This window comes from Homo sapiens, chromosome 17 (genome assembly GCF_000001405.40).
Source record: "Homo sapiens chromosome 17, GRCh38.p14 Primary Assembly".
Taxonomy (NCBI): Eukaryota; Metazoa; Chordata; class Mammalia; order Primates; family Hominidae; genus Homo; species Homo sapiens.
Window position 1 is genome coordinate 6,794,082 of NC_000017.11, and position 20,736 is coordinate 6,814,817.

Sequence of the window (20,736 nt, forward strand, 5' to 3'; positions counted from 1 at the left end):
CCTTGGGATGTATCTACACTTGCTAAGAGGAAGAAATTTCCCTGACATGCATTGGTCAATTGGAAACCCCAAGAATCTCACTAGCCTCCTCTATCCCAGGGCCTGGGATGGCAAAGTGCTACACCAGAAAAGGGCTATGTGGATCACAAGGACAGTGTAGGCCTCATGACTCTGAGATAACAGAACAGAGGCACAGAGAGGCTAAGCAACTTACCTTAGGTCACACAGTAAGAGGAAGAGTGAGCCAGGATTTGAACCCTCGTGTATCTGACATAAAGGCCAGCATCCCATCTATAAAATGGGGCTAGTAATCATACCAGCCTCTTCAGGTTTTTGTAAAGATTTGATGAGAAAATATACGAGAAGTCACTTTATGAACTGTGGATCACAGCTGAGTGTGACACGTCATCACTATTGTCGCCCATCAGTCAATTATCTGGGATAGCCTGAGGTTGTGTCATACCTACATAAGCCACAGAAAAATAGACTCATGAAAGAATCAGGGCTGGGCATGAATGAACGAGAAACTACATTTAAATGGAGCCCAGACTGCACGGGAACCAAAGTGGGGTTCTAATACCATTGGGTTGATTACCTATGGCAGAAACAGCCCAAGCAAATATGTGACCAAATGCTAACATCACACCTAAATGTCTAAGCTGTTCTGTAATTTTGAACATTAATCTGTTTTCAGGGGATGATCCAGGGAAAAGAATGAATCAAGCCATTGCTGTGGTATTTGGACCAGTGGCCACTTGCCATTGACTTGGTGAGAACGAGGATGCAGATTTACTTTTCATGCTCTTAGGAGTATAAGTCTAGGATCTGGGTCCACTCTGAGGAATCTTTCCTCTCCACTCCCACTGGCTATTAGGAATCTTAGGAACCAATAAGCTAGAAACTTGACTGTTTATACTTTCCTCATTTGTTTCAGTGGATTAAGGTACCTAATTGTTCCATAACACCCTACGGTTTCTAACTGGCTTTCATTTAACATTGACACCGTTAATGCCACCACGCAAGAATGAACTGTTTACTTGCCTGAGAAATTGCATGTGGGATTTAAAACTTTTTCTAAGATTCATTTTTTCAACTGATGATCTCTCAGGAGTATTTTCTGGTGGTGTTTGAGACAGTGACTGATGTTGGCATTTTCCCAGGGTGTGGAAGCCCCCAAGTTTAAAGCCCAGCTGACTCCGTGTGCCAGATCTTCACACAAGAAGGACCAGTGATATAAGGGGTTCTCCAATTATAAAATTAACAACTGGGAGGGATAAAAAAATCGCACCACTAACTTTGGAGAATTAGCTGAGAAAAATTTTACGTAGAGGAAAAAAGACTTGGAAAATTGTCTTCTGAATTAAACATATTAGTCTTCTTCAGGTAGCAGCAAATAGAACAATTGATTGTGACCGAGTGCCTTTCTTTCTTTCTTTCTTTCTTTTTTTTTTTTTTTTTTTTTTTTTTGAGATGGAGGTTTGCTCTTTGTTGCCCAGGCTGGAATGCAGTGGTATGATCTCAGCTCACTGAAACCTCTGCCTCCTGGGTTCAAGCGATTCTCCTGTCTCAGCCTCCCAAGTAGCTGGGATTACAGGCACCCACCACCACACCCGGATAATTTTTGTATTTTTTTTTTTAGTAGAGATGGTGTTTCACCATGTTGGCCAGGCTGGTCTCGAATTCCTGACCTTGGTGATCCACCCATCGTGGGCTCCCAAAGTGCTGGGATTACAGGCATGAGCCACCACACCAGGCCTCCAAGTACCTTTCTTATGGACCAAGTTCATTTCCAATATTTTAGCAGTGGCGTTAGGTAGACTGTATATGATGATTCTCCTAAATAAGGTTATTCTCTTTCTGTTAAATATGGTTTTCATTGATTTATGGATGTATCTGGAACTATTATTTTGGCAGGTTTTACAAGGCCTCAGAATCGGTTCGGATGCAGGAACTGTGTTTGACGTTTATGTCGAAGTTCTCATCAAAGCCTGGAAAATGTGGAGCCTCTTTTGCAAGAGTGGAGATTGTTGCCTTTAAGCCAGATCTTAAACACTGTTAGCTCATTGTGAAAAACACAAGTGCCAGTGATTAACAAAGAATGTTTACTTAATTTACTTCAGATCTGGTCTCAGTTAAAGGTTAGCTCATCCTTATCAGGTGGTCACAGAAACTAGATCCCAGTAGCAGAGTGACCTTTGGAAGCTAGAATTGTAGTCAATGGACTTAAAGTGAGATCGTGGGAGCCAGTTCTTCACTTAATTAAGCAGAGTTGAAAGACTTTCTTCTTTCCAGCTCCCTATTTTCCTTCCTTGGGCTATTTTCTGTAAGTCAGACTTGGTTTGCCTCAATACTACATATGCCCTGTAAAAATAAATTAACTACAAGAGACTGTTGACTGTATGGCCACCAGCCCTGCCCTGGTGTGTGTCCTTTGCAACACTAGTGTCTGAGGTGGAGCCCTCCATTCCTCGTGTTTTTCATCCACTCCCCCTTTCCTTCCTCTCCCCCGCCAGTAGAGGACTGTTTGCGCAAGAGACCAATGGATTAGCCAGCAGGTCTAAGCAGCTGCAAGGATAGGTCTCTCTTTTGCCCGGGGGAGAGAGATACCAGCTTGACTCGTGATCAGGTACTTTATTCCTTATGATAGGGAGCTCAGAATCCAGCATCAGTGTTCCTATTAATTTCTTGTTAGTTTTGTAGCTTTGGGTATCTGCACTTGTCAACAGTAGGCTGTAAGAATATTTATTGGAAACCACAAAAATCTCACTAGCCTCCTCTATCCCGGAGCCTGGGATGGCAAAGTGCTACACCAGAAAAGGGCTATGTGGATCACAAGGACAGTGTAGGCCTCATGACTCTGAGATAACAGAACAGAGGCACAGAGAGGCTAAGCAACTTACCCTAGGTCACACAGTAAGAGGAAGAGTGAGCCAGGATTTGAACCTTGGTGTGTCTGACATAAAGGCCAGCATCCCATCTATAAAATGGAGCTAGTAATCATACCAGCCTCTTCAGGTTTTTGTAAAGATTTGATGAGAAAATATACAAGAAGTCACTTTATGAACTGTGGATCACAGCCAAGTGTGACAGGTCATCACTATTGTTGCCCATCAGTCAATTATCTGGGATGGCCTGAGGTTGTGTCATACCTACATAAGCCACAGAAAAATTGACTCATGAAAGAATCAGGGCTGGGCATGAATGAATGAGAAACTACGTTTAAATGGAGCCCAGACTGAACGGGAACCAAATGTGGGTTCTAATGCCATTACTCATTACTGTTACCCAAATATGATCCTGCTCCCCTGGGAGGGTGGCTCTGACCTTGTCACTCCCAAGCCTGGCACCCCCAGAGCATGCTAGAGTGGTGGTGGAGGGCAAAGATGACAAGACATGGACTCTCTGGGTTAGGGTGAGTGGCAGGCAACAGAATCCACAGAATAGAGAAGTACCTAGATTGGGTACTCTGGGAGAAAAACAACCTTCCGGAGATTTTCCCAGTGTGCCAAATCCTGTGCTACCCGAGAGAATTCCCACTCATCACTGCCAAATGAACCACGGAAGAGACAGAAACTTTGCTCCTGTGTTTCTTTTAATTATGTGGATTACAGACACGTTCAACTTTGGTTCTATGTTAAGAAAATTCAAGTTTAAATGACTCCCAATTTAAGTGATGGTATTTAAAAATAAATTTTGTGTTATCTAAGACAAAAATTGTACTTTGTCTTAAAAAGATATCTGGCTTGGATGGGTCAGAGGGGTACGGAACAGGGTGGCCTTCATCAGTAGCTACAAAGGCTTTTGCAACCGTGGGCTAATTGCAAATGTCCTTCATGAAACACAGGCTAAGACCAGATTTCATTTGTGAAACACATTGATACCCAATAAGACCTAGGAATTGCATGAGCAGATTTACTAACAAAACATTGCTTTATTGAAATCTTAGATGTTTCCGCATTTTATGTCTACATGTTGAGAAATGGCCTCAACCATAATCAAAATCACATTTCCCTTAAAAGCAGCATGTTCCAGACACTGTGTTGAGAGTCTTCCACACGTTATCTCGCCAATCTAGGCTTTATTAGTCTTATTTACAGATTAGGCAACTGAAGCTCGGGGAAGTTGAGTAACTTGGCGGGGATCACATCACAGGTAGAGCGTGGAGCTGATCCACCAGCTGATCTGAATCACATCTCCCTGCAGAGCCTGGGATCTGAATCCACCACTGAGGCTGGCTGCCTCTGAGAGCTGTATTCACAAGGAAGGATTTTGCCCAGTGTCTTCACACCCTGCCAGCCACATCCTCTGGGACAGACCTCAAAACCCTGCTAAGTTAGCAGAAACTCTGAGGTCTGCCCAGTGAGCTGGGAAGGCTTATTTGGACTCTTCCGAGCCAGAGCAGAAAAGCACCCAGAGGCTTCCCAGTGAGCAGAGAGGGGCCTCCCTCCTTGATTGAGGCATGGGAAGGGCTGTGTATTTGCTGAGCACTCTGAGAGGAGACGTTCAGCACTGGGGTGGCATAGATCAGAATTAACAGAATTAAGCCAGTGCTTTTGGCCTCAAAGGGGGTTTCTCCATCCCAGATTGGGAACATCCCTTTCTGATGGCAAAGAGTCTCTGGACCAAGGAGCACCTAGATTGCAAAGCTCCCAGGAATTAGGCCCACACTCTGCATTATCATTGTGCCCTATGACACCGTATGTGCAGCTAGACAGCCAGATTCAGGGAACAGCAAGGACAGGAAGAGTTCCAGACGATATAGTCCTTTCCTTACTTTACAGGTGGTCCTAAAGAAGGAGAGAAACTTTCCTGGCAGTGTTGCAACTAGAAGCTAGGTCTCCTGAGCCCCACACCGTCAGCTGTCCATGAGCACCGGGGAACCAAATGTTAGCAGAGTGTAGCAGCAGCTTCACACATGGGAGGGTGCTGAGATGGTAAGCCTCGTCCATGGAAAGTGTTCCTTCAATGTTAGCGGAATAAGGAACAAATGAGCAGTTTCCCACAGCAAATGTCTTCCTTTGACAGTCACCCACATAGATCTCTGACCTGCTGCAGCTCAGCGGAAGGCAGCCTCCCACAAGTTGAACTCTTTTTGGAAAAGAAACAGTAAGTATATAAAACAGTCTTGCTGAAAACTTGTAAAGAGGTACGTAACCATTAAAATAATTATAAAGACAATTTAGCAACATGAACAAAGGCTTGCAATAATTAGCAGTGAAGGAAAAAAATAATCCTGAAATTGAGTTTATGCCATGAGTACAATTGTGCAGAAATTATGTTGGTATAGGGTGGGACTGCTCACAATGGCTCACATTCATTAAACACTCACTGCCCCATGATACAGGCTCAGTATGAAGCCCTTTACGGAGGTGATCTCATTCAACGCCCCTATAGCCCTGTGAGTGGGGACTATTGGAGGTCCTATACTCAGATGGCAGACTCCGGAACCTACAGTCTTAACCATTGACTTGAACCCATTGACTTGAATGAATGGAATTTTGTTCTTTTTCTTTATGTTATTTGAGTATTTAAGAGAAAAAAAACACATTATTTTCTAGAGAAAAGAAATTTTGAGAGCCAAGAGAAAGGTTAGCATCCCATCTCATGAGCAAGAGGGGCATGGTCTACACAGGTGATCCAGCCCAACTACTTTATTGAATTGAATCTGAACTGAAATGTCTTGAAACCCTGTCCTGGGGCCCCAAGTCCTGTGATATTGTAAGAGTGGCCTGTGCTAAAATATGGAGTTGAATTGTTAGGCAAACACCACACCAGCATAAGAGAAGAAACTCGCCCCAAAATCAGCCCCCTGAGCAGGCTTGGAATGCCAGCCAAGAGGTTGCAGCAGGCTGGCTAGAGGCCCCGCCAGCCTGAAATGAGAGCTCTGTACTACTGTAACTACTGTTTACAATGTGGTTTAATGAGAATTGGAACTAGCCCTACTATTAGCAGACAGCATCAGGGCGGAGGCCCCCAGCCCAGACCCCATGGTCTTCCCCATCCCGAAGTGGGATGGATTTCCTCATCTGCATACACAGCACTTCGTCGATATAAATGGTGTTCTCTTTGACCTGGATCTCCTCCTGCAGGGCAAGCTGTCTGCGATGCAGCCCTTTCAGCTCTGCCTGAGCTTGGGCTAAAGTTTCCTTCAATCTAGGAGAAAGGGAAGAAGAGAAGAGAATAATTTCTCTCTATGCATTGCTTTTTCAAGGGAAAGAATGTTCCCCAGTGTTCAGTGCAGGAGCCAAATTGATATGTGCTCTTCCCCTTCCTCTCTCCTCATGAAGACAGAGATCTCACTAATTTTAGAATAAAATGCATACTGAAAAGGCCATGAAAAAAAGAAAAAGACAGAGATTTCAATTTGGCGGCCACAGGCCAGATTCATGACGTAGACACCTTATGAAATGCTGATGTTTAAAACTGCAGATTTGACCTAAACATCTGGATTTGGGCTTCTTTAGAATCACTCAATATTGGGATCCATTTTCTCCAAGGCAACAATTTTGGCGGGAGGTGGTGGAGACTTCCCTCTAGGGGGCATTCCTCAAGCATTCCAGAGCAGGCTGGCTTCATTCACGCTGCTGGTCACTATCTAGCCTCTGCTTGATATCCAGGTTGGGATTGAGACCCGAAGGCCCTCTGCCCACTGGCTGCTAGCCTACCTTGCGACATTGTGGGTGATCTCTTGAACCTCCTTCATTAGCCTATATTGTGCGACATCACGACACAGCTCCACGTTCGGCCGGTGTGTCCTGGTCTCCAAGCGCGTATGAGCCACCTTGGCTGGCCCTTCTTGGTCAAGGATGGCCTTTTCAAGAGCTGTAATATTTTTCTCCTGGGAAGCAATCTCTTCCATGACCTTACAAAAAGGATTAGAGTAGGTGAGGCCAAGCTGTGCTCCTCAAAACTCAACAGCTGACAGCAGATGGGTTGTGATCATGTAAGTTAGGAAGAGGGAACCTCAGATTTCTTCTTAAGCAGCATGCCAGAGTCTGATCTCTCTTCCCTAAAGCAGTGATTGCTGGTGGGCAAGGTCACATAAGACTTAAAACCTTATGGACTCAAGGGACAGGACGGGCCATTGTCACCTCATCTACCCACAGGAGATGCCCTCAGCAAAGGCCTGGCCAGAGTGGGGATCTCACTACTGCTCAAAGCTGCCTGCTCACCTTGGTACAGGGTACCTTTGTATCATGAGCAGAAAGCTGCCTATTTCCTCACCACTCCTATCCTGCTAGCACCAGCTCTGTCCTCTGGAAGCCTGAGGAAAGAAGGAGCAGTTGGGTCTGAGTTTGGTTGTTATTTTTGTGAGTGACTTTATGCACAGAAAAAGACTACTTTTAGGCCAGATGTGGTGGCTCACAGCTGTAATCACAGCACTTTGGGAGGCTGAGGAGGGAAGATCACGAGGTTAGGAGTTCGAGACCAGCCTGCCAACACGGTGAAACCCCCAACTCTACTAAAAATACAAAAATTAGCCGGGTGTTGTGGCACACACCTGTAATCCCAGATACTCAGGAGGCTGAGGCAGGAGAATTGCTTGAACCCAGGAGGCGGAGGTTGCAGTGAGCCAAGATCGTGCCACTGCACTCCAGCTTGGGGGACAGAGTGAGACTCCGCCTCAGAAAAAAAAGAAAAGAAAAGAAAAAGACTACTTTTAAGTTACTTGGTTTTAACAAAATTAATATTTAACTGGTTTAAAATATATTTCTTCATTAAGCATTTTTTTTAAAACTTGTACATCTACTTTTGCAATATACACAAAAGTAGATAGACTAAGGAACCTCGCATAGTCATCAGCAGTTTCAGCAATGAGCAGTATGTGGCCAGTCTTGCTTCATCTATACTCCTGTCCATCAGCTTAGTTATTTTAAAACTAATCCCAGATATTATGTCCTTTTAGTTAAATATTTCACTTAAATATTTGAGTGTGTATTTCTAAGCATAGGATTCTTTATTTTCTTTTGACAAAACCACAATACCTTTATCACACCAAAAAAGAGACAAAAGACTTATTCTTTAACATTATAATAATATTTAGTGATCACATTTCACCAATTGTTCCATATATTTTGGTAGAGTTGGTTTGTCCAAATTACATCCCAATGAGGTCCAGAAATTGCACTTGGCTTTCTTAAGCTTCTATTTAAACACTTCTTAAGGTTTTCATAAGTCCGGTTCACAGATATACTATTTTTAAATTTAGCAGATATTAGCAATTACTTTAAGCTGCTTTCGACTAATAATTGCTCCTACTTCAAACTTACTTAAAGTCCTTTGAATATTTATTTAAAGCAGCATTTATAAATTTGATACATAACTTTTTAAAATATTTGAATTATCTTTTTTTTTTGGCCTGGAATTTTATTTATTTATTTTTTTAAGGTGAATTTTATTTTTTTATTTTTTTATTATACTTTAAGTTTTAGGGTACATGTGCACAACGTGCAGGTTTGTTACATATGTATACATGTGCCATGTTGGTGTGCTGCACCCATTAACTCATCATTTAGCATTAGTTATATCTCCTAATGCTATCCCTCCCCCCTCCCCCAACCCCACAACAGGCCCTGGTGTGTGATGTTCCCCTTCCTGTGTCCATGTGTTCTCATTGTTCAGTTCCCACCTATGAGTGAGAACATGCGGTGTTTGGTTTTTTGTCTTTGCGATAGTTTGCTGAGAATGATGGTTTAGAACTTCATCCATGTCCCTGCAATGGCTGCATAGTATTCCATGGTGTATATGTGCCACATTTTCTTAATCCATTCTATCGTTGTTGGACATTTGGGTTGGTTCCAAGTCTTTGCTATTGTGAATAGTGCCACAATAAACATACGTGTGCATGTGTCCTTATAGCAGCATTATTTATAATCCTTTGGGTATATACCCAGTAATGGGATGGCTGGGTCAAATGGTATTTCTAGTTCTAGATCCCTGAGGAATCGCCACACTGACTTCCACAATGGTTGAACTAGTTTACAGTCCCACCAACAGTGTAAAAGTGTTCCTATTTCTCCACATCCTCTCCAGCACCTGTTGTTTCCTGACTTTTTAATGATCGCCATTCTAACTGGTGTGAGATGGTCTCTCACTGTGGTTTTGATTTGCATTTCTCTGATGGCCAGTGATGACGAGCATTTTTTCGTGTGTCTTTTGGCTGCATAAATATCTTCTTTTGAGAAGTGTCTGTTCATATCCTTTGCCCACTTTTTAATGGGGTTGTTTGTTTTTTTCTTGTAAATTTGTTGGAGTTCATTCTAGATTCTGGATATTAGCCCTTTGTCAGATGAGTAGACTGCAAAAATTTTCTTCCATTCTGCAGGTTGCCTGTTTACTCTGATGGTAGTTTCTTTTGCTGTGCAGAAGCTCTTTAGTTTAATTAGATCCCATTTGTCAATTTTGTCTTTTGTTGCCATTGCTTTTGGTGTTTTAGACATGAAGTCCTTGCCCATGCCTATGTCCTGAATGGTATTGCCTAGGTTTTCTTCTAGGGTTTTTATGGTTTTAGGTCTAACATGTAAGTCTTTAATCCACTTTGAATTGATTTTTGTATAAGGTGTAAGGAAGGGATCCAGTTTCAGCTTTCTACATATGGCTAGCCAGTTTTCCCAGCACCATTTATTAAATAGGGAATCCTTTCCCCATTTCTTGTTTTTGTCAGGTTTGTCAAAGATCAGATGGTTGTAGATATGCGGCAGTATTTCTGAGGGCTCTGTTCTGTTCCATTGGTCTACATCTCTGTTTTGGTACAAGTACCATGCTGTTTTGGTTACTGGAGCCTTGTAGTATAGTTTGAAGTCAGGTAGCGTGATGCCTCCAGCTTTGTTCTTTTGGCTTAGGATTGACTTGGCAATGCCAGCCCTTTTTTGGTTCCATATGGACTTTAAAGTAGTTTTTTCCAATTCAGTGAAGAAAGTCATTGGTAGCTTGATGGGGATGGCATTGAATCTATAAATTACCTTGGGCAGTATGGCCATTTTCATAATATTGATTCTTCCTACCCATGAGCATGGAATGTTCTTCCATTTGTTTGTATCCTCTTTTATTTCATTGAGCAGTGGTTTGTAGTTCTCCTTGAAGAGGTCCTTCACATCCCTTGTAAATTGGATTCCTAGGTATTTTATTCTCTTTGAAGCAATTGTGAATGGGAGTTCACTCATGATTTGGCTCTCTGTTTGTCTGTTATTGGTGTATACGAATGCTTGTGATTTTTGCACATTGATTTTGTATCCTGAGACTTTGCTGAAGTTGCTTATCAGCTTAAGGAGATTTTGGGCTGAGACAATGGGGTTTTCTAGATATACAATCATGTCATCTGCAAACAGGGACAATTTGACTTCCTCTTTTCCTAATTGAATACCCTTTATTTCCTTCTCCTGCCTAATTGCCCTGGCCAGAACTTCCAACATTATGTTGAATAGGAGTGGTGAGAGAGGGCATCCCTGTCTTGTGCCAGTTTTCAAAGGGAATGTTTCCAGTGTTTGCCCATTCAGTATGATATTGGCTGTGGGTTTCTTATAGATAGCTCTTATTATTTTGAGATATGTCCCATCAATACCTAATTTATTGAGAGTTTTTAGCATGAAGCGTTGTTGAATTTTGTCAAAGGCCTTTTCTGCATCTATTGAGATAATCATATGGTTTTTGTCATTGGTTCTGTTTATATGCTGGATTATGTTTATTGATTTGCATATGTTGAACCAGCCTTGCATCCCAGGGATGAAGCCCACTTGATCATGGTGGATAAGCTTTTTGATGTGCTGCTGGATTCAGTTTGCCAGTATTTTATTGAGGATTTTTGCATCAATGTTCATCAGGGATATTGGTCTAAAATTCTCTCTTTTTTTGTTGTGTCTCTGCCTGGCTTTGGTATCAGGATGGTGCTGGCCTCATAAAATGAGTTAGGGAGGATTCCATCTTTTTCTATTGATTGGAATAGTTTCAGAAGGAATGATACCAGCTCCTCCTTGTACCTCTGGTAGAATTCGGCTGGGAATCCGTATGGTCCTGGAATTTTTTTTGGTTGGTAAGCTATTAACTATTGCCTCAATTTCAGAGCCTGTTATTGGTCTATTCAGAGATTCAACTTCTTCCTGGTTTAGTCTTGGGAGGGTTTATGTGTCGAGGAGTTTATCCATGTCTTCTAGATTTTCTAGTTTATTTGTGTAGAGGTGTTTATAGTATTCTCTGCTGGTAATTTGTATTTCTGTGGGATCGGTGGTGATATCCCCCTTATCATTTTTTATTGCTTCTATTTGATTCTTCTCTCTTTTCTTCTTTATTCATCTTGCTAGCGGTCTATCAATTTTGTTGATCTTTTCAAAAAACCAGCTCCTGGATTCATTGATTTTTTTTGAAGGGTTTTTTGTGTCTCTATTTCCTTCAGTTCTGCTCTGATCTTAGTTATTTCTTGCCTTCTGCTAGCTTTTGAATGTGTTTGCTCTTGCTTCTCTAGTTCTTCTAATTGTGATGTTAGGGTGTAAATTTTAGATCTTTCCTGCTTTCTCTTGTGGGCATTTAGTGCTATAAAATTCCCTCTACACACTGCTTCGAATGTGTCCCAGAGATTCTGGTATGTTGTGTCTTTGTTCTCATTGGTTTCAAAGAACATCTTTATTTCTGTCTTCATTTTGTTATGTACCCAGTAGTCATTCAGGAGCAGGTTGTTCAGTTTCCATGTAGTTGAGTGGTTTTGAGTGAGTTTCTTAATCCTGAGTTCTAGTTTGATTGCACTGTGGTCTGAGAGACAGTTTGTTATGATGTCCTTTCTTTTACATTTGCTGAGGAGTGCTTTACTTCCAACTTTGTGGTCAATTTTGGAATAAGTGCGGTGTGGTGCTGAGAAGAATGTATATTCTGTTGATTTGGGGTGGAGAGTTCTGTAGATGTCTATTAGGTCTGCTTGGTGCAGAGCTGAGTTCAATTCCTGGATATCCTTGTTAACTTTCTGTCTCGTTGATCTGTCTAATGTTGACAGTGGGGTGGTAAAGTCTCCCATTATTATTGTGTGGGAGTCTAAGTCTCTTTGTAGGTCTCTAAGGACTTGCTTTATGAATCTGGGTGCTCCTGTATTGACTGCATATATATTTAGGATAGTTAGCTCTTCTTGTTGAATTGATCCCTTTACCATTATGTAATGCCCTCCTTTGTCTCTTTTGATCTTTGTTGGTTTAAAGTCTGTTTTATCAGAGACTAGGATTGCAACCCCTGCCTTTTTTTGTTTTCCATTTGCTTGGTAGATCTTCTTCCATCCCTTTATTTTGAGCCTATGTGTGTCTCTGCACATGAGATGGGTTTCCTGAATACAGCACACTGATGGGTCTTGACTCTTTATCCAATTTGCCAGTCTGAGTCTTTTAATTGGAGCATTTAGCCCATTTACATTTAAGGTTAATATTGTTATGTGTGAATTTGATCCTGTCATTATGATGTTAGCTGATTATTTTGCTCATGAGTTGATGCAGTTTCTTCCTAGCGTCGATGGTCTTTACAATTTGGCATGTTTTTGCAGCGGCTGGTACCAGTTGTTCCTTTCCATGTTTAGTGCTTCCTTCAGGAGCTCTTGCAAGGCAGGCCTGATGGTGACAAAATCTCTCAGCATTTGCTTGTCTGTAAAGGATTTTATTTTTCCTTCACTTATAATGCTTAGTTTGGCTGGATATGAAATTCTGGGTTGAAATTTCTTTTCTTTAAGAATGTTGAATATCGGCCCCCACTCTCTTCTGGCTTGTAGAGTTTCTGCTGAGAGATCAGCTGTTAGTCTGATGGGCTTCCCTTTGTGGGTAACCCAACCTTTCTCTCTGGCTGCCCTTAACATTTTTTCCTTCATTTCAACTTTGGTGAATCTGACAATTATGTGTCTTGGAGTTGCTCTTCTCAAGGAGTATCTTTGTGGCATTCTCTGTATTTCCTGAATTTGAATGTTGGCCTGCCTTGCTAGATTGGGGAAGTTCTCCTGGATAATATACTGCAGAGTGTTTTCCAACTTGGTTCCATTCTCCCCATCACTTTCAGGTACACCAATCAGATGTAGATTTGGTCTTTTCACATAGTCCCATATTTCTTGGAGGCTTTGTTCGTTTCTTTTCATTCTTTTTTCTCTAAACTTCTCTTCTCACTTAATTTCATTCATTTGATCTTCCATCACTGATACCCTTTCTTCCAGTTGATCGAATTGGCTACTGAGGCTTGTGCATTCGTCACGTAGTTCTCGTGCCTTGGTTTTCAGCTCCATCAGGTCCTTTAAGGACTTCTCTGCATTGGTTATTCTAGTTAGCCATTCATCTAATTTTTTTTCAAGGTTTTTAACTTCTTTGCCATGGGTTCGAACTTCCTCCTTTAGCTCAGAGTAGTTTGATCATCTGAAGCCTTCTTCTCTCAACTTGTCAAAGTCATTCTCCATTAAGCTTTGTTCCATTGCTGGTGAGGAGCTGCATTCCTTTGGAGGAGGAGAGGCACTCTGATTTTTAGAGTTTCCAGTTTTACTGCTCTGTTTTTTCCCCATCTTTGTGGTTTTATCTACCTTTGGTCTTTGATGATGGTGACGTACAGATAGGGTTTTGGTGTGGATGTCCTTTCTGTTTGTTAGTTTTTCTTCTAACAGTCAGGACCCTCAGCTGCAGTTCTGTTGGAGTTTGCTGGAGGTCCACTCCAAACCCTGTTTGCCTGGGTATCAGCTGCGGAGGCTGCAGAACAGCGGATATTGGTGAACGGCAAATGTTGCTGCCTGATTGTTCCTCTGGAAGTTTTGTTTCAGAGGAGTACCCAGCCGTGTGAGGTGTCAGTCTGCCCCTACTGGGGGGTGCCTCCCAGTTAGGCTACTCGGGGGTCAGGGACCCACTTGAGGAGGCAGTCTGTCCGTTCTCAGATCTCCAGCTGCATGCTGGGAGAACCACTACTCTCTTCAAAGCTGTCGGACAGGGACATTTAAGTCTGCAGAGGATTCTGCTGCCTTTTGTTTGGCAGTACCCTCCCCCAGAGGTGGAGTCTACAGAGGCAGGCAGGCCTCCTTGAGCTGCAGTGGGCTCCACCCAGTTCGAGCTTCAGGGCTGCTTTGTTTACCTACTCAAGCCTCAGCAATGACAGGCACCTCTCCGCCAGCCTGGCTGCCACCTTGCAATTTGATCTCAGACTGCTGTGCTAGCAGTGAGCGAGGCTCCGTGGGTGTAGGACCCTCCAAGCCATGTGCGGGATATAATCTCCTGGTGTGCCGTTTGCTAAGACCGTTGGGAAAGCGCAGTATTAGGGTGGAAGTGACCTGATTTTCCAGGTGCCATCTGTCACCCCTTTCTTTGACTAGGAAAGGGAATTCCCTGACCCCTTGCACTTCCCGGGTGAGGCAATGCCTCACCGTGCTTCGGCTTATGCTTGGTGCGCTGCACCCACTGTCCTGCACCCACTTTCCGACACTCCCCAGTGAGATGAACCTGGTACCTCAGTTGGAAACGCAGAAATCACCCATCTTCTGCGTCGCTCACGCTGGGAGCTGTAGGCTGGAGCTGTTCCTATTTGACCATCTTGGCTCCACCCCTATTTAAATTATCTTAACAAATAAGACCTTCTGGAGTTCTTAAATAGATTTGTCAATCTAACAAATTAGTAAAAAAAGATGATGCTTTAAATTTTCTTAAATATTCGAATGCTATCTTCAAATTTAAAGTTTCAACTAAAATCATAAGGCTAAAACAATTATTTAATTATATATTTTAAAGAAATTTTTAAAAAACAGGCCAAATCTCTTAAATTTTACAAATACCTTAACCATCCAAAATACATAGATAGCAATACACTTATAATAAAACTACTACTGCTATGAGTGAGATCAAGAATCAGCAAACTATGGCCTATAAACTAAATCCAGTCTGCAACCTGTTTTTGTACAGACTGTGAAATAAGATTTTTTTTAAGTAATAATCTTCAATTTCTTTAGAGCTGTTTTAAGTTTAAAGAAAAATTGAGCAGAAAGTAGAATTCCCATATGCTTTCTCCCCCCATCCAGGTTTTCCTTATTATTAGCATCTTCCATTAGTGTGGTACACTTGTTATTAATACAATTGATGAGCCAATATTGATATATTATTATTAACTAAAGTCCACAATTTACATTAGGGTTCACTCTTTGTGTTGTACAATCTATGAGTTTTGTTTGTTTGTTTGCTTTTGTTTTTTATGGAGTCTTACTCTGTCACCCAGGCTGGATAGCAATGGCATGATCTCAGCTCACTGCAACCTCTGCCTCCTAGGTTCAAGCAATTCTCCTGCCTCAGCCTCCCAAATAGCTGGGATTACAGGCAGGCGCCACCACAGCCAGCTAATTTTTGTATTTTTAGTAGAGACAGGGTTTCGCTGTGTTGGCCAAGCTGGTCTTGAACCTCTGACCTCAGGTGATCCACCCGCCTCAGCCTCCCAAAGTGCTAGGATTACAGGCATGAGCCACCGCGCCCAGCCGATTCTATGGGTTTTGACAGATGTATAACTACATGTATCCACTTTACAATATCATACAGAATATGTTTTGCTGCCCTAGAACACCCCTGGGCTGCTTCCATTGATCCTTCCTTCCTTCTTCCACCCACCCAAACCCCTGACAACCGCTGATCTTTTTCATCTCCATAGTTTTGTCTTTTCTAGAATGTCATATAGTTGGACTTATGATTCATATCATACAGTATGAGTTTCAAATCAGCTTCTTTAACTTAGCAATACGCATTTAAAGTTCCTCTATGTCTTTTCATGGCTTGATAGCTCACGCCTTTTTAGTGCTGAATAATATTTCATTGTCTGGATGTACCACAGTTTATCCATCCATTCACCTATCTTAGCTGTTTGCAAGTTTTGGCAATCATGAATAAAGCTGCTATAGACATTCATACACAGGTTTTTGTATGAACATAAGTTTTCAGCCCATCTGGGCAAATACCAAGGAAGGAGATTGCTGAATCCTAAGAGTATATGTTTAGCCTTGTAAGAAACTGCCACCCTCTCTTCCAAAGGGGCTGTACCATTTTGCATTCTCATCATCAATGAATGAGAGTTCCTGTTGCTCCACATCCTCACCAGCATTTGGGGGTGTCAGTGCTTTGGATTTTCTGTAGGTGCCGAGGTGTTGTTGTTTTAATTTGCAATTCCCTAATGACATAGGATGTTGAGCATCTTTTCGTATGCTTACTTGCCCTCTGTATATCTGTATTGGTGAGGTGTCTGTTTAGAGCTTTTGTTCATTTTTGTAGTTGGTCTGTTTTCCCATTGTTGAATTTTAAGAGTTCTTTGTACGTTTTGGATAACAATTCTTTATCAGATATGTATTTTGCAAGTATTTTATCCCAGTGTGTGGTTTGTCTTTTCATTGTCTTAGGGATTTTTAAATTTTAAATGGTTGGGGAGAAAAATAAAAGCAGAATATCGTCATGTGAAAATTACATAAAATTATATTTTTAATGCCCATAAATAAAGCTGTATTGAAACACAGCCATGCTTATTCATTTATTATTGCTTCTGAACTACCATGGCAGAATTAAGTCATGGTGACACACTGTATGTGATGTTCTCACGGCTTTGCACTGTTGCCCAGAGCACTATAAATCACAGTGACATGTATATAACTTGACAGTTTTCCAACCATGTATCACCATACAGTGACATCTTACTATTTTATTTTTATGCATTTTTTTTGAGATGGAGTTTCGCTCTTATTGCCCAGGCTGGAGCACAATGGCACAATCTCGGCTCACTGCAACCTCTGTCTCCCAGGTTCAAGCGATTCTCCTGCCTCAGCCTCCCGAGTAGCTGTGATTACAGGCGCCTGCCACCACACCAGGCTAATTTTTTGTATTTTTAGTAGAGACAGGGTTTCACCCTGTTGCCCAGGCTAGTCGTGAACTCCTGACCTCTCAGGTGATCCACCCACCTTGGCCTCCCAAAGTGCTGGGATTACAGGCGTGAGCCACCACGCCCGGCCGTGACATCTTATTTTATTGTTTTATTACCAGTATGTCTTTGTTTCTGCTCCTTAGCCTCTTCTCTTCCTCTCTTCTCTTCTCAGTGCTCTCCCATCCTCCCTTCTGTCCTATCTCAGATCCATCTTTCAAGGCCTATACTAAGTTCTTATTCCACCAGGAAGTCTCTGGATTATTCCTTGGCTATCATCATCATCATCATCATCATCAATCAACTATTTTTATTATTTATATGTATGATATTATATGTTAATCATATATGCAAAATGTGTGTGTGTGTGTGTGTGTGTGTGTGAAATGTATACATGCCAGGCACTGTTCTAAATATTTTATATGAGTTGTCTAACTTAACCCTGGCTGGGGAAGACTATTGTTTCTCCCCATTTTATCAAGGAGGAAACTAAGGAACAGGGGAGTTCAGGGTCTCCCTAAGGTCACACAGCAAGTGTTGAAGCCACAGTTCAAACCCAAGATGTCTGGCTCTGACGTCTACCCATTTCCACTAGGCTCGTCTACCTCTCGGTTTGCTGAATATTGCAGTTTCACCCTCGATGATACTCTGGTTTCTCCAGCACATCACAGAAATAAATCTTGTCCACAACTGGACTCTGAGCTCTGGGAGGGAGTGTTCAGGATGTGGCAACAGGACAGGGATTCAGGGGCTGAGAAGGCCTGGGCTCCACTCCCACCGTGCCGCCTTGGGGCCCTTCCCCTCTCTGTTTCAGCTTCACCAGCAGTAAAGCGTAGGGTGGGCTGACAGTGGCCTGCTGAAATGTGTAGCTTGAAATCCACCAATGTGGGAGTATTTGTACTACAGACATCGACAAATTCTACAGGAAGGACCCTAATCTGTAGAATTTGCCGATATCTGTGGTACAAATGCTCCCACTTTGTATTTGCAGTACAAATACTAACCCCCTCTGATATGGTTTGGCTCTGTGTCCCCACCCAAATCTCATCTTGCATTGTAATCCCCACATGTTGAGGGAGGAATCTGGTGGGAGGTAATTGGATCATGGGGGCAGCTTCCCCCATGCTGTTCTCATGATAGTGAGAGAGTTCTCATGAGATCTGATGGTTTTAAAAGTGGCAGTTTCCCCTGCACTCTTTCTGTCTCCTGCTGCCTTGTGAAGAAGGTGCTGGCTTCTCCTTCACCTTCTGCCACGACTGTAAGTTTCCTGAGGCCTCCCCAGCCATGTGGAACTGTAAGTCAATTAAACCTCTTTCCTTTATAAATTACCCAGTCTTGGGTAGCTCTTTACGGTGGTGTGAAAGTGACTAAAACACCCTCTGAGAGCCAGTTTACCAGCGCAACACTGTATAACCAGGAGAAACGACCAGCTAGAGTCCTAAAGCTCCAACCGGGTTTGGAAAAACTGGCTGCATCAACTCCTGTAACTTCAGAGTCCTAAAGGGCACGTGAGAGCATGTAGTCCATTTCCGTACTTCACATACGGAGGAGTGGCAACTGGAGTGGGAAGACAGCCAGGCACAAAGCTGCAACCAGCCCCTAAGCCTCCCGTCTCCTGCCTCAGGGTTCTGTTCTCTGCATTTCTGTTCTCTGCAGCAGTGAGTGACAATGGAGGCCCAGAGTGGGGCAAAGTCCCGCTCCAGTCCCCAAAAATGCAAAGCCTGCTGCTAAGCTTGAGAGATATGAATGACCCTTACCCACGAGTTAACCCAATATCCCAAGCCCAGAAGTCTAGCGGTCTGGCCCAGGGGGCATTCTTGTTTTCCATGGTGAAAGCTCCTGAATCTGCTCTTCTTCCATGCTCCCTCAAGGGACCTCACCTTGGCCAGATGATCAGCCAGCTTGTCCCTGGCATCCTTTGTATCCTTCAGCCCATTCTTGAATGCCGTGTCCACCACATCACACTGCTTGCGCAGATCATTGGCTGTCTGGGACAGGATTCGATCCACCAGGGCTTTCAGCATCAGGGAGTTGTTCCGCTGCTTGTCAGCCTTCTCCACATTGGTGCTGGAGAAGTCCAACCAGTCTTCCAGACTCACGGAGCTGAAACAGACCTCACGCTTTCATTCACAGCATATTTGGGGTGGGGAAGGGGGTTGGGAGAGAGGGACGAGCTACACCTTCCCCTCATAAGAACCACCTAGAATGTTACCCTATCTCTAGGCAGAGCAAATAGTGGTCTGTCAGTATCAATAGCTGTCACTTTGGGCAACCTCCCTACTCTGGCATTGGGCTGGCACCTTATAGACATTATCTCATTTAATCCTCATGATGGCCAAGTGAGCTAACTTTTCTAATCCCCATTTTACAGATGAGGGAAACTGAGCTCAGAAAAATGAAGTAACTTGGGTGAGATTGCTCAGCTAGAGATAATTTGAGCATCAAAATAATACTAATGTAATAGATTACACTGAATAAAATAGAAACCATCCATCTATACAGATTTAAATAAAAAAGTGAATAAATTACTCGTTTGAAGAGGAACTATCTTCTGGAACGACACTGATGAACTTCAAAATAATGTTAATTGGAAGAAACCAGACACACACACACACACACACACACACACACACACACACACATATCTAGTATATAATGCTGTTTAATGAAAAGCAGGCAAAACCAACCTATTACAAGTCAGGAAAGTTATTACCTTCAGGATGGAGGGAGGGACTATTGATTGGAAGAGGACAGGATGATAGGGATGGTGATAATGTTTTCTTTCTTGACCTGGTGGTGATATGAGGCTTTGTTCAGTTTGTGATTAGAAGCAGCCTCTGAGATGGCACTTAGTGATCCCCCCTCCTGGTATTCATGCCTTTGTGTAATCCCCTCGCCTTGAGTATGGGATGAATTTATTGACTTCCTTCTCACAAATAGAAGGATGTCACTTCTGGGATTAGGATATAAAAAAGACTGTGGCTTCTGTCATCCGTTCTCTCTCTCTCTCTCTCTCTCTCTCTCTCTCGGATCACTCATTATGGGAGAAACCAGTTGCCATGTCATGGGACATCCCCATGGTGAAATTCACAAGGCAAGGAACCAAGGCCCACCATCACCCACAATCAGCTTGGAATTGGACCCCACCCGGGTCAAGCCTTCAGATGGATTGCAACCCCAGCAGCTGGCTTGACTACAGCCTCAGAAGACATCAAGCCTGGGGCACCCAGTTGAACAGGGCCTGGTTTCCCCACCCAAGGAACCATGAGATAATACATGTTTATTGTCTTAAGCTGCAAAGTTTTGGGATAATTTAGTATACAGCAAAAGATAACTAACACAATGAGAATGCTTCAAACTTGTGCACTTTTCTATATGTATGTTTTATTTCAAAAAGAAGGTTTTAAAAATTAAAGTGAGTTAGGCTGTGATATAATGTTAACCGAAAAATGCAAATTAGATGTCACAGAAAAGGTACATAGTATAATCTCATTTTTATAAACTAAACAAAGTTTACCGTATGTGTGTGAGTGCACATGTACATATGTTTGTATGAACATGCAGCTAACACCAGTTATCTCAGTGGATGTAAAAACAGAAAGGGGAGGCCAGGGGCGGTGGCTCACGCCTGTAATCCCAGCACTTTGGGAGGCCGAGGCGGGCAGATCACGAGGTCAGGAGATTGAGACCATCCTGGCTAACTTGGTGAAACCCCATCTCTACTAAAAATACAAAAAATTAGCCAGGCATGGTGGCGGGCGCCTGTAGTCCCAGCTACTTGGGAGGCTGAGACAGGAGAATGGCGTGAACCCGGGAGACGGAGCTTGCAGTGAGGTGAGATCGCGCCACTGCACTCCAGCCTAAGTG

The 20,736-nt window shown here is 42.8% G+C and overlaps 1 protein-coding gene across 2 annotated transcripts in view, besides 2 other annotated features; it reads right to left on the reverse strand.

The window, feature by feature from the left end:
* Positions 2,087–2,231: an enhancer, noted in NCBI's record as "145 bp enhancer 34 fragment used in the MPRA reporter construct; PK_construct_3226". NCBI's record gives its function as "activates an SV40 promoter by MPRA in HepG2 cells {active_cell/tissue: HepG2}" and the evidence as "EXISTENCE:reporter gene assay evidence [ECO:0000049][PMID:23512712]".
* Positions 2,150–2,167: a transcriptional cis regulatory region, noted in NCBI's record as "GATA motif; enhancer activity is reduced when this motif is scrambled; it is unclear which activator is functional in HepG2 cells". NCBI's record gives its function as "necessary for full MPRA enhancer 34 activity {active_cell/tissue: HepG2}" and the evidence as "EXISTENCE:site-directed mutagenesis evidence [ECO:0005528][PMID:23512712]".
* Positions 3,912–20,736, reverse strand: part of TEKT1 (tektin 1) — a 33,737-nt gene continuing 16,912 nt past the window's right edge. Inside the window, exons 6-8 of one of the 2 annotated variants that reach the window (NM_053285.2) lie at positions 18,750–18,972; positions 6,666–6,862; positions 3,912–6,153 (exon numbers count right to left, since the gene is read on the reverse strand). In NM_053285.2, coding sequence (NP_444515.1) covers positions 5,946–6,153; positions 6,666–6,862; positions 18,750–18,972 — 628 coding nt within the window. In that variant the 3' untranslated portion in view covers positions 3,912–5,945. The remainder of the gene's footprint in view (positions 6,154–6,665; positions 6,863–18,749; positions 18,973–20,736) is intronic. The other variant, XM_011524027.4, reaches the window with a different exon arrangement.